Below are 12,211 nucleotides of genomic sequence, written 5' to 3' on the forward strand. Positions count from 1 at the left end.
TCCGTGGAAAAGTTGTCTTCCACAAAACCAGTCCCTGGTGGCAGAAAGGCTGGGGATCTCTGAGAGCACTCTATCTCAAACTTTAACATAAATATGATCTCCTGGGGATCTCGTTAACCTGCAGATTTCTAGGTTAGTAGGTCTGGGGTGGTGCTGCTACTAGTTTCCAGACCACACTTTGAGTAGCAAAGTTTTAGAACACGGATCTAGGTGAGGATTCTTGGCTGAAAAAAAGGAGAGTGGGGTTAGGGGTGCTAGAATCCTGGTCACAGTTATACTTTAAAGGTATGTGTACAGGCCAGGTGCAGGAGCTCATGCCTGTAATCCCAACACTTTGGGAGGCCAAGTCAGGTGGATCACCTGAGGTCAGGAGTTCGAGACCACTCTGGCCAACATGGTGAAACCCCTTGTCTACTAAAAATACAAAAATTGGCTGGGTGTGGTGGCACATGCCTGTAGTCCCGTCTACTTGGGAGGCCGAGGCACGAGAATTGCTTGATCCCGGGAGGCGGAGGTTGCAGTGAGCCAAGATCACGCCACTGCACTCCAACTTGGGCAACAGAGTGAGACTTGGGTCTCAGAAAATAAAAAAATAAAAATAAAAGGTATGTGTATAGGCAAGAAACTTAGAAACACAAAGCCATTTGACAAATTATAGGGCTGATAAGCGTGTGGGTGACTTTCTTTCACGTGTTTCTTGCTATAAAGTGTTTGCAAAGAATAAAAACTGCAAAGAAAATCAGTGAAAGGGAAAAAAGCAGTTCATTCTCAGCCACACAGAGGCCATGTGGGGCACACCACTCGTTGCCTCTTACCTGAGCTGCTCTGCACTGCTGGAACAAGGTTTCTGGCTGGGAGGTTTTCAAAATGTTTTCAAACAGCCTGCTTGAGTTTGCTCCAGTTGAGAAGCATCTGAGGCTATGATCACAGCCAAGGGTGATATGTAACAAGCTGTCCCACCTCTGATGCAAATGAAGCCTGCAGAGATATAAGAAAAGCCTTCATTCCTCAGCCAGGGATAACACACAGGCAGACCAGGTGACCAGTGACACCCTTGGCACCCACTAAGAGCGGTAAGAAAAATCAATTTAAAAGTTTGCCTTTCTTACAAAAAGAATTTTTATGAGGCCAAAGCGTTGACAAGTTTGTCAGTCCCAGAATCTGCTAACACCCTCCCGCTAGCCCCTTAGATTTTTTAGTACTTTTCCCCTCCTCATTTTTAGAGGGGAGGAAAAACCATCTTGAACAAGCAGAAAGTTTTATCCAAGGTGTTTGGCAGCGACTCTGAGCTCTAGGAAAGATTTATGTCTTCGTCCTCTGGCACTGCCTAGCGTTAGCTCACTTAAAACAACTGAATATATGAGTTCACTTTATCCTGTCAAAGTAGAACCTAGGGCGGCATGGTACCCAGCTGGGGTCCACGGGGACCCTGAGGCAATGCTCATGTCTCAGTCACTTATGCTGAGCTCAGCCATTTTTATGTCTGTCTGAGATCATTAAAATGAGGAGGGAAGGGAGCAGAAAGCCCTGTGGAATGAATGGTGTGATGGAAACACCACTAGAATCTAGAGGGCTCCGCCAAAAACATGGATTTAGGGGTTCACTTTAAACGCTGCATGTCTCCCATCGTCACCCCTCCCATTAGTAGTCCTTTGGACAGGAGCAAGACCAGTTGCTTGGAGTATGAGCTTCCTGGAGGGCACCTCCAGAGAGGTTTCTCCATGCTGATGATCCCAAGAATATTTTAATTTTCCTTGTTAAGTCATTGGTTTTCTTTGCTGCTGCCCCACTACCATTAAGACTAGGCCCTGTGATGGAGCCCACTGCCCCTGAAAAAGGAACGTGTATTCGGTCCTGGATGGATTCTCCAGGCCAGACCCAGGTCCACCCACCTCACATGGGCACGGGCTCAGGATTCGCCAAGCAGCTTTGATATTAACCTAAGACAGCAAGATTAGAAAAGGCACTGCTGCCCCACAGGACTGCACTGTGCCGCCTGAGCCCAGGGAGGCAGGGGAGCTGGGGGCCCAGGGTCTGTGCCTGCCCATCCGGGAGGACGGTTGCGGGACCCTCTGCTCCCCAGCCCAAGCCTGCTTCCCCTTCCGGAATCCTCAGGCTTCAGCCAGAGGGAGGGGTGGTTTCTGTCTTAAGGGTGGGGACCTGGGATTCTAATAGGCCCTCACAATTTCTTGGCATTTAAAGGTGACAGAGCCTGTCGCCTAGAATGAGAACAGTCCAAGGGCAGGGATTGTGCCCTCCTCCTGGGGAAGGATGGAAAGGAGGGAAGAGCTAGTTAGTTGTTAGCTGATCCTCACACATCCTGAGAAACACTCATGGAAATGCAGTAATGCCATTTCATAAACAAGGAAGCTGAGGGGCTGCATCTGCCATCACACAGTGGAAGTGGAATTTGACTGGGGCCTGTCTGAATCCCATTCTTGGCCCTTTCCTGCGTCAGCACTGCCCAAACCTCAATCATTCCCATAGCACCATCACCATCTTCGCTAGTCTTCACACTACACACAGCTACATGTATATGTAACTAAATTCTTAAATCTACTGATTGTTTAAAAATATAACTAGTTTGATGTGCTAGTTGCATTTTTCCAATATGCATTAGAACAAATAAAAGAATTGTCCATCCACGTGTCACTGGCATGCTGCCCAAAGTGCATCTATCACACTAGAGCAGCGGTTCCCACAATGTGGTCCCCAGATCAGCAGCAGCAGCAGCGCAGCAGCACCTACGAACTTCTTAGAAATGCAAATTCTCGGGCCCCACCACAGACCTCATGAATCAGAAGCCCTTGGGGGTGGGGCTCAGCAACCTCCCCCTCAAACTCTTCTGTTATCCTGATGCCAGTAAATGTTCGCTTTGCTAGAGTGTTTGACCACTTAAGAGTGTCCTGGTCGTTTCACCTGTGTGCCCCCCGGCCCCTCCAGCCATGCCCTGCTCACCCCACCTCTGGGCCTTTGCCAGAGCCATTTGCCCCTCCTGGATTACTCTGATCTCCTCTTCTCACAGTGTCATTATGAGGACAGAGCACATGAAATCAGACTGAGCCTTTCATGGCTGAGTTCAGAAAGACAGTGATTATAATGTGATGAACATCTGCCTCAAGGAAAACACCTTGAAATTTACACATGAGCATGCAAAGTTGTCAGAGGCATTTGAACCAGAGCAACTCCGCCTCAAATAGGCGCTGGGTAAAATGAGGCTGAGACCTACTGGGCGTCATTCCCAGTTGGGTAAGGCATTCTAAGTCACAGGATGAGATAGGAGGTCGGCACAAGATACAGGTCATAAAGATCTGATAAAACAGCTTGCAGTAAAGAAGTTGGTCAAAACCCACCAAAACCAAGATGGCCACAAGAGTGACCTCTGGTCGTCCTCGCTGCTACACTCCCATTAGCGCCATGACAGTTTACAAATGCCATGTCAGCATCAGGAAGTTACCCTATATGGTCTCAAAAGGCAAGGCATGAATAATCCACCCCTTGTTTAGCATATTATCAAGAAATAACCATAAAAATGGGCAACCAGCAGCCCTCAGGGCTGCTCTGTCTGTGGAGTAGCCATTCTTTTATTTCTTACTTTTTAAATAAACTTGCTTTTGCTTTGCACTTTGCTTTTCTTTCTTGCGTGAAATCCAAGAACGCTCTCTTGGGGTCTGGATCAGGACCTCTTTCCTGTAACAAAGTGGCAGTGCTTGCTTATTTTTCTGTGACTCCTTGGGCCAGGATTCAGAAATGATGGAAAGGACCTAGCAAATAAGTGAGTTCCACATTCCCTAGAGCCCTGCAGGTCCAATAGAACTTTCTGCAATGATGGCAGTGTTTCATATCCACACTGTGTTGGGAGACAATTCCCCATGGGTCTCGTGCATTTGTACACATTTTTTATTTTTTTTAGACAGAATCTCACTCTGTCACTCAGGCTGGGGTACAGTGGCACAATCTTGGCTCACTGCAACCTTCACCTCCTGAGTTCAAGCAATTCTCATGCCTCAGCCTTCTGAGTAGCTGGGATTACAGGTGCGCGCCACCATGCCCTGCTAATTTTTGTATTTTTGGTAGAGACGAGGTTGCACTATGTTGGTCAGGCTGGTCTTGAACTCCTGACCTCAAATGATCCGCCCTCCTCCGCCTCCCAAAGTGCTGGGACTACAAGTGTGAGCCGCTGTGCCCGGCCGCATTTCTACACATTTTGTAAGCAGAGGCACTGCTTTTGTTCTGGACACCTTTCAAGGATTTTTGTATTAATATGTAACCAGCAGTCTTGGAAGACAATGTCTTCCTCCAGCACATAGGGCAGATGCTTACTGCACATTGCAAAAGAACCAGGTTTCCTAAACTCAGGGTTCCTTTCTTGTACAGCAACCCACTGTATGTGTGGGTATCCTTTGGCCTCATTCATGTTGCCCTGTGGCAATTGGAGCTCAGGAAACTGGAGCAAGAAAATACTGATACTCTGGTTACTGATATTGCTATAAATAATAAAGTTCTTTGTCTCTGACCCAGGAGTCTCATGTCTTCTGCCAGCATCCATGAAATGGTCAGACTAACTTGTTAGTTTGCAACTGTGGTAAAATATGCGACCCTTCATATTTCTTGTAGTATTGAGCACTTTAAATGTGACTAGTGTGACCAAAAAAATGAAATTTTAGTTTGATTTTAAATAACCACATGTGGCTAGAGGCTACCATATTGGACAGCACAGTTTAGAATGCTCAGGCATAAACTGGAATAGCCGCTGGTCAGGGATGCTGTAGAGGGAGCTGTAGGATTGACACTTAGGTGATTTCTAGGTTGTTTTCAATATTTCAGTTTTGATTCTGTAGCTCTAGGAAGAGTAGAATTATGGAGAGGCCAAGGGTAGAGAGATGCCCTGTCTTTTTATTACATCCAGAGAGGTTTACTGGTATTGTTGAGAGATGAAAGTAAAGCAAAATGGGGGCTGAGTTTGGAGACTGGAGATGAGGAGATGTTTCTAGCATAGAATGCAAGCCTTTTGAAGAAGGCTCGGAGGCCAGAGAGAATATATGGCCAGAGAAGATGAGCAAACCAGGGGTCCTTGAAGAATTTACTCAGCCCTGCCCTCCCCTCCTTCCTGCAGCCTGAGAACCTCCCCCATCTCCTCCTGGCTGGCCCAAGTCTCCTTGGACCCTGCTCGGCTTCCCAGGCCTCTGCCCCTCTCACCTCCTGGCTTAGAACAATCTCCTCTTTGATTGCTGGCTCAGGCCCCACTGACTGTCAGGTCATCTGTACCTAATCAGGAGGAGCAGGGGCCTGAAGGATGATAAACGGGGCTTCTCATTTCAATAAAGTGTGTGCAGAATATTAGAAACAGCTGTGGGACTTGGCTGGCTGTGCCAGAACCTGTGGAGGCCTAGCGTTTGGGGGAGGAGAGTCGAGACGGAGAACACCAGGGCAGAAGTCTGTTTAAAGGGTGCTTTGCCACCTAGGGCTGGCAAAGCCGGTAAGCTTAGTTCAACACCAGCCCCTGCCCGGAGCCCTAGGCCTGGACCAGCCTGGAGAGTGCTCTGCAGTTGGACGACTCTGGGCGCGGCCAGGCAGGTCTGGATTACCCAGCAGGCGTTTATTTACCTTTATCGTCATTTATTTTACAAATACCACATAGATTTCTGTGCAGATTGCTTTTCTCACCTAACAAAACATTGTGAAAATCCCTCTAATTTATTCTCTTTTTTTTAATCAGTAAAATGCACATAACATAAAATTTACAATCTTAGCCATTTTCAAGTATATAGTTCGGTAGCGTTAACTATATTCACATTGTTGTGCGACCCTTCTCCAGAACTTCTTCTCTTCCAAAACTGGAATTCTATATCCATTAAACAACTCCCCATTTCCCCTCCCTCTCCAGCTCCTGGTAGCCACCCTTCTACCTTCTGTCTCTGTGGTTTTGACTGCTCTAGGTATCTCATCTAAGTGGAATCCTAGAGCATTTGTCCTTCTGTAATGTATTGTTTTAAAAGATGTATAACATTACATTACATGGGTATATGTATATCATTCAATCAATACTAATGGTTTTGCCACTACAAAAAAATGCTATATTTTTGTATGCATATCCTCAAATATTAAAGCTTGCTTTTTATCCCCCATAGCATAATTTCCAAAAATTACATAGCTCAAAGAGATGTATATTTTTAGTTTTCATATATTTTACCAGGTCCCTTTCTCAAAAGTCTGGGGTAATTCACATATCCACCAGCTGTGATTAAGAGTGGTTTCTCCCTCATCTTCTCCAGCCCTAGGTATGATCATTCTTATTAAGTTTTGCTATTCTGATAAGTGAAAAGCAGTATCCCATCTCTAAAATTTGCATTTCCTTGACTATTAGTGAGGTTCAGCATCTTTCCATAAATGTATTATCCATTTGGATTTTCTCTTCCATGAATCACCTATTTCTATCTTTTGCCTATTTTTCTACTAGGTTATTTCTCTTTCTTATTGACAGACAGGATCTTTGTGTACCAGATATTAACTCGTTATTGGTGGTACATATTGAAATATTTTCTCCAGTCTATAGTTTGTCTTTTGACTTTACATATAGTATCTTCTATCTTTCTGTTTTCTTTTTTTTTTTTTTTTGTCTTTTGTCTTTTGAGACAAAATCTCACTCTGTTGCCCAGGCTAGAGTGCAGTGGTGCGATCATAGCTCACTGCAGCCTTGATCTCCTGGGTTCAAGCCATCCTCCTACCTCAGCCTCCCGAGTAGCTGGGACTACAGGCATGCGCCACCATACCCGGCTAATTTTTGAATTTTTTGTAGAGACGGGGTTTCGCCATGTTCCCCAGGCTGGTCTGGAACTCCTGAGCTCAAGCGATCTGCTCACCTTGGTCTCCCAAAGTGCTGGGATTACAGGTGTGAGCCACTGCACTCAGCGGTATCTTTTTTTTTTTTTTTTTTTTTTTTTTTTTTGTGAGACGAAGTCTCGCTCTGTTGGCCAGGCTGGAGTGCAGTGGCGAAATCTTGGCTCACTGCAACATCCACCTCCTGGGTTCAAGCAATTCTCCTGCCTCAGCCTCCTGAGTAGCCGTGACTACAGGCACGTGGCACCATGCCTGGCTAATTTTTGTATTTTTAGTAGAGATGGGGTTTCACTATGTTGGCCAGGCTGGTCTCAAACTCCTGACCTCATGATCCCAGCGGTATATTTTATCTTTCTAAAATTTAAGCTTCTTATGTCTCTCTTTTCATCTGTAGCTTCTGAATTTTCTACTTTATTTAGAAAAATCTCTTCAAACTCTAGATCATATATTCTAATATTTTTCCTCATGAAACTGTTTTAAATGTTATATTTAAATCTTTCGGATCTGAAATTTTGTTTTAATAACTTAATGAGGTAGAGGTCGTAACCTTTTTTTTTCATTCAGACATAGAGTCAACTGTGCCTATACAATTTATTAAAGAAACCATAGTTTGAATCCACTGGTTTGAAATACCACCTTTATTGTACCCTATAATCCATACGCACGGGGATAAATTTCTGAACTTTGTTCTATTTCTGCCCTATGGGGCTATTTATCTTGTCCTGTACTTTTAATGTACGATTTGATCCCAGTAACTTTATAGTTTTCCTTAGGCCACTTGTAATATTTCTTTGCTGCTGTTGTTTTCATCATTACCATTAAAAAATTCCTTCCAGCTATCAGAGCCTGTGAATGTCAGTAACTTCAAAACAGGCCAGAATAAAGCCAAGAAGGGGAGGGATGGGCCTGTCCCTTACCTGTCCATGTGCCTTTTCAGGAATCAGCTGAGGCAGTGGCCAGACAACAACATTAGGTGAGCACCCACTACGCATTCAGCATTGCTCTTACCACTAACGACAAAGCTGGAAGACCAGAACTTCCAGCAATGGGGTAACAAGGTTCTTATTTCTCAGCTCTGGACCTGTATCTTCTGCAGCCAGTTTTGCGATGTTGGGCTTGGACCCTACCAACTCCATTTCTGTTTTGCCAGTCACTAGAGGGAGGCTGCAGGCGGGACAGGAAGTGTGGACAGGCTCCTTCCTGTTTGCATCTGTGTGTTCCCTGTGAGGGCACCCCAGCAACACATCTTCACCCCAGGAACAGCAGGCCCCTCCTGGAGCAGCACCTGATCCAGTTTGCAGTGTTCCCAACACTTGCAGCTCCATCATCCACCCCACCCCAGCCCTGCATCCCTACCTGAGAGACCCCAGCACCAGCTGGCAGGTGCCCCTTCCGCAGAGGTCTGGGTGCAGGAGTCCTTTCTTCACACCCGGAGACCCCAGCTCCCGCTGAGTTGAGCCCCCTCCTCAGATGTCTGGGTCACAGGCTCTGGAACCCTCCTTCAAAACTCTTCCTTAGGGTTCTCCAGCCCTGGAGTGGTAGCTGCTCCTGCAGGTGCAACCCCCATGAAAGCTTACTCTTCTCTCTCCTTACCCTCTCCTTACCTAATTAACAACTTCATACCTCATTATCAGTTCCTTATGCTGAATTCTCTTTTCAAACTAACTGGTGTGGTTTCTGTCTCCTGATTGAACCCCAGCTGACACAGGTAATGAGGAATTGAAGTTTTCTGGGAAGTGAGGGCTGCCTCTCTTGGCCGCCCTGCTGAGAGCTCCCTTCCCTCCTCCATTCCCAGAATTATTTGGCTGCTGGTCGCCAAGGAGACGACTGACAATTTCCAGTTGCCAAGCCTCACCCTGGAGCTCTACAGAGACATTATGGAAACTCCCCACTCCTTCCTGCTCCTCAGCCAGGGAACTTGGAGAATCTAGCCAGGTTGGGTGGAGGGCACTGGGAGGGGATAGAGAGGAGGTGACAAGCCTGAAGATGGAGAGAGCAGCTAGAAGTTTCCCTGGGCCCTGGCTTCCCCAACAGACCTCAAAAGTCTGGCCCACCCTTGAAGGCTAGGGCTGGCCTGGTGGGCATCCCCTGTGCTGGGTCCAGACAGACTCCTACCAGGGACCTCCAACCAGACCCTCAACTACAGAGAACTGTCCCTATATTGTCATTCCCGGCCTGGTAGCAGCACTGTTGCCAGATGGGGCAGAACCCAGGAAGAACCTGGGAACTGAAGGGCTAGGAGTCTTTCCTGGGGGAAGGAACTGCAGCTGTCCTGAGCACTTTGCTCATATCAGACAGCACTCAAATGCACTGAGGCCTAGTGTCACAGCCCGGGAAACAGCAACAACAGCAACGCTAATAATAATAATCGTAGTGGTGCAGTAGGTGTGACTCTTACTCTATAAACTTAGGTGCACAAAAATATCCATTTCTCTATTTCACTAAAATCAAGTAGAGTTGAGTTCATTCCTGGGGCTCCTGCCTTTTTCCAGCGTCCCACCAGAACCCGGGGGCTTATTGCTATGGTTTAAATGTGTCCCCAAAATTCAGGTGTTGCCAGTGTGGTAGTATTAAGAGATGGGGTCTCCAAGAGGTGGTTGGGCCACGAGGGCTCCTCCCCTGTGAATGGGAGTAGCTGCCCTTATAAAAGGGCTTGACAAAGGGAGTTTATCCCTTTTTGCCCTTCTGCCTTCCACTATGTGGGGACATGGCCTTCGTCTCCTCTGGAAGATGCAGTGACAAGGCGCCATCTTGGAAGACAACAGCTCTCACCAGACACCGGACCTGCTGGAGCCCCGGTCTTGGACTTCCCAGTCTCCAGAACTGTAAGAAAATAAATTTCTGTTCTTTATAAATTACCCAGTCTCAGGTATTCTAGTATAGCCACACAAATTGACTAAGAAACTTAGGAGGGATGAAACCAAGGGAAGGCCTCTAACTGCTGGTCCATCGTGGTGGTTGTTGGCCTGCTCGTTGTCCAAGCTTTCTGTGGGCCTGTGCAGTCAGCAATAGCTCTCCAGTCCTGTACGCTCTGGGGTCCTGGCCTGCTGTCTCCAGACTCTTCTTCTCCCAGGTACCTAGTGACCTCTGAACTGTCCCCAAACTCAGGGAAATCTCTTCCTCTCTGCTCTAACTGCCCCCAAAGGCACTCTCCTTTCTCCATCTCACCCCTTCCACCACCCGGCATACCTCACACAACTTTTACAAAATTAGGAAGATGTTAATGTACAGCTTCTTCCCTGCAAGAATCCCCATGGCAATGCAGGGCTAGAGGCCTGGTGAAAGCAGCTTCTGGTCTGTTTTTGCGTAGTAGTTTAAGGTAAGCTAAAGACATCGGGACATCTCATTGCTGAGTGTTTTAGTATTCATTAAAAAACAGAAACATTGTCTTACATCATCAAAAAACTATTCTCACATATAACAAAATTAATTTTCTAACTTTTTTTTTTTTTTGAGACTGAGTCTTTCTCTGTTGCCCAGGCTGGAGTATAGTGGCGTGGTCTCGGCTCACTACAACCCCCACCATCCAGGTACAAGTGATTCTCGTGGCTCAGCCTCCTGAGTAGCTGGGACTACAGGAACACGCCACCACACCCGACTAAGTTTTGTATTTTTAGTAGAGAGAGGGTTTCACCATACTGGCCAGGCTGGTCTCAAACTCCTGACCTCAAGTGATCTGCCCGCCTCGGCCTCCCAAAGTGCTGGGATTACAGGCGAGAGCCACCGTGCCTGGCTTCTAATATTATCTAATAAACAATTAGTCCCATTTCACAGAGGAAAAACTAAGACTTGAAGTGGGTGAGTAACTTGTTCATCGTCACTCAGGTAGTGGGAACAGAACCAAGATCTGAACCCTGATGTGATTCCAGCTCTCCTCTTTCTTCACATCTCTGCACAGCAGCTTATACGCTCTTACTAATCCACCATCCCGCTCTTACAACAGCTCTGAGCAGTGTCAGGGTGAGCATTGCAATCACATTTTTAACCAATCAGGAAACAGAAGCCATGAGTGTTTTGCTCCACATGCCCAGGTAGGGCTGGTTGAGAAAGGGCTCCGGGAATGGAAAGCAGATGGAAGGAGGGTCAGCTCCCAGGTGAAGCTGGCGCCAGAAACTAGGCCTCCTTCCCTGCGGCCCCAACAGGTGCTCTCCCAGCACTGTCACTGCCTCAGCCTTGGCCTGCGTCTGCCTCCCCTTCCTTCCTCTCCTGATCTGTTCACCTCCTGTTCCCAACCCTTCCATCCAGGGCCTCCTTCATTTCCTCTCTAGTCTCTAAGGATCAGTTTACAAAGTGACTAGGCAGTGGCCCCTGCCTGTCCTCTGTCCCTGTTGTCCTCCTTCCTTTCCTTAGCCATGAACACAGCCGGGGACACGTTGCCTGTGGAGCCTCTAACCCATTTCCTCTGCAGCCCTCGGCTGGTCTCCTGCTGGGGTCCCGGAGGGCCGGGCTGGCCCAACAGCACACATGGAGAAGCCATTTCCTCCAGGAGCATCTGCTCCCCTCCTCAGCCCAGCTGTCCCTGTCCTTTCACATGCTGCTGCTCCAAAGCCCTATGATTTCAGAATCAGGATTCAAAATGGTCACAAGGCAGGAGAGCTGGGTTAAAACCCACAGCACAAAAGGAGGGGCCTGTAGGTTGGCTCAGAGGCACAGGGATGTGGTGCGAGACAAGCGTCATCTGTCCCTGAGTTTACCAAGTACCCACGGTCTGGTGTAGCTGCTGCCCATGCACAGCGGAGGGTCCTGGAGAGGAGGCAGCTGCAGGCACCTGGCGCTTGTTCCAGCCGCACCACTGCCTCGTCCAAAGACACAGGGAGACTCAGGGAGCCGCCGCTTCCTCTCAGGAGAGCCAGGTGTGCCCAGCCATCCTCAGGAGCCAGGGGAGGCCTCAAGGGGGCAGTGTAGCCAACATGCCCTGATACAGGATAAACGTTAGCTGAGGGGGATCCGTGAAACTCAGTAAATAACTGAGCAAGACTTTGAGCATTTTTATCAGAAGAGAAGGGATTTAGCAGTTCCACAGGCCCCTGGCCAGACTGAGTGAGCCACAGTCTCAGAGTGGACGGGGACGAACCAGAGAATGTCCAAAGACGGGGAGCAACCTGGGGCACAGGAAATCAAGCCATGGGGAGAAAATAGGGGAGCATTTGAGCCCATTCATAAAATATGAATAGCAATGCTTTCTCATGGGGCTGTTGGGAACCCCTAACCCACGCCTGGTGTATGTAAGTGTACAACAAATGGTGACTAGTATTATTTATTTAGGTGGAGAAGAGAAGAGCAGCACACGCAGTTTCAAATAGTGAATGACTTTCATCTGGAAGTGAGTGGGGTTTGAGTAATTTTACAAAACTTCCATGAAAGAATTCCC

At 47.5% G+C, this 12,211-nt stretch overlaps 1 long non-coding RNA gene across 1 annotated transcript in view, besides 3 other annotated features; it reads right to left on the reverse strand.

Annotated features, from left to right (window-relative positions):
• The window catches only part of DDX25-AS1 (DDX25 antisense RNA 1), a 15,624-nt gene extending 7,071 nt beyond the window's left edge, over window positions 1–8,553 (reverse strand). The window contains exons 1-2 of the long non-coding RNA NR_199024.1: window positions 8,197–8,553; window positions 816–978 (exon numbers count right to left, since the gene is read on the reverse strand). This is a non-coding gene — a long non-coding RNA (DDX25 antisense RNA 1). The remainder of the gene's footprint in view (window positions 1–815; window positions 979–8,196) is intronic.
• Window positions 2,469–3,422: an enhancer, noted in NCBI's record as "H3K4me1 hESC enhancer chr11:125802853-125803806 (GRCh37/hg19 assembly coordinates)". NCBI's record gives its function as "activates a minimal SCP1, AML or CMV promoter by ChIP-STARR-seq in primed H9 embryonic stem cells {active_cell/tissue: H9 hESC(primed)}" and the evidence as "EXISTENCE:reporter gene assay evidence [ECO:0000049][PMID:30033119]".
• Window positions 4,774–5,338: an enhancer, noted in NCBI's record as "H3K27ac hESC enhancer chr11:125805158-125805722 (GRCh37/hg19 assembly coordinates)". NCBI's record gives its function as "activates a minimal SCP1, AML or CMV promoter by ChIP-STARR-seq in primed H9 embryonic stem cells {active_cell/tissue: H9 hESC(primed)}" and the evidence as "EXISTENCE:reporter gene assay evidence [ECO:0000049][PMID:30033119]".
• Window positions 11,645–11,804: a silencer, noted in NCBI's record as "silent region_4045". NCBI's record gives its function as "represses an Ori minimal core promoter by ATAC-STARR-seq in GM12878 lymphoblastoid cells {active_cell/tissue: GM12878}" and the evidence as "EXISTENCE:reporter gene assay evidence [ECO:0000049][PMID:35858748]".

Source organism: Homo sapiens, chromosome 11 (genome assembly GCF_000001405.40).
Source record: "Homo sapiens chromosome 11, GRCh38.p14 Primary Assembly".
Taxonomy (NCBI): domain Eukaryota; kingdom Metazoa; phylum Chordata; class Mammalia; order Primates; family Hominidae; genus Homo; species Homo sapiens.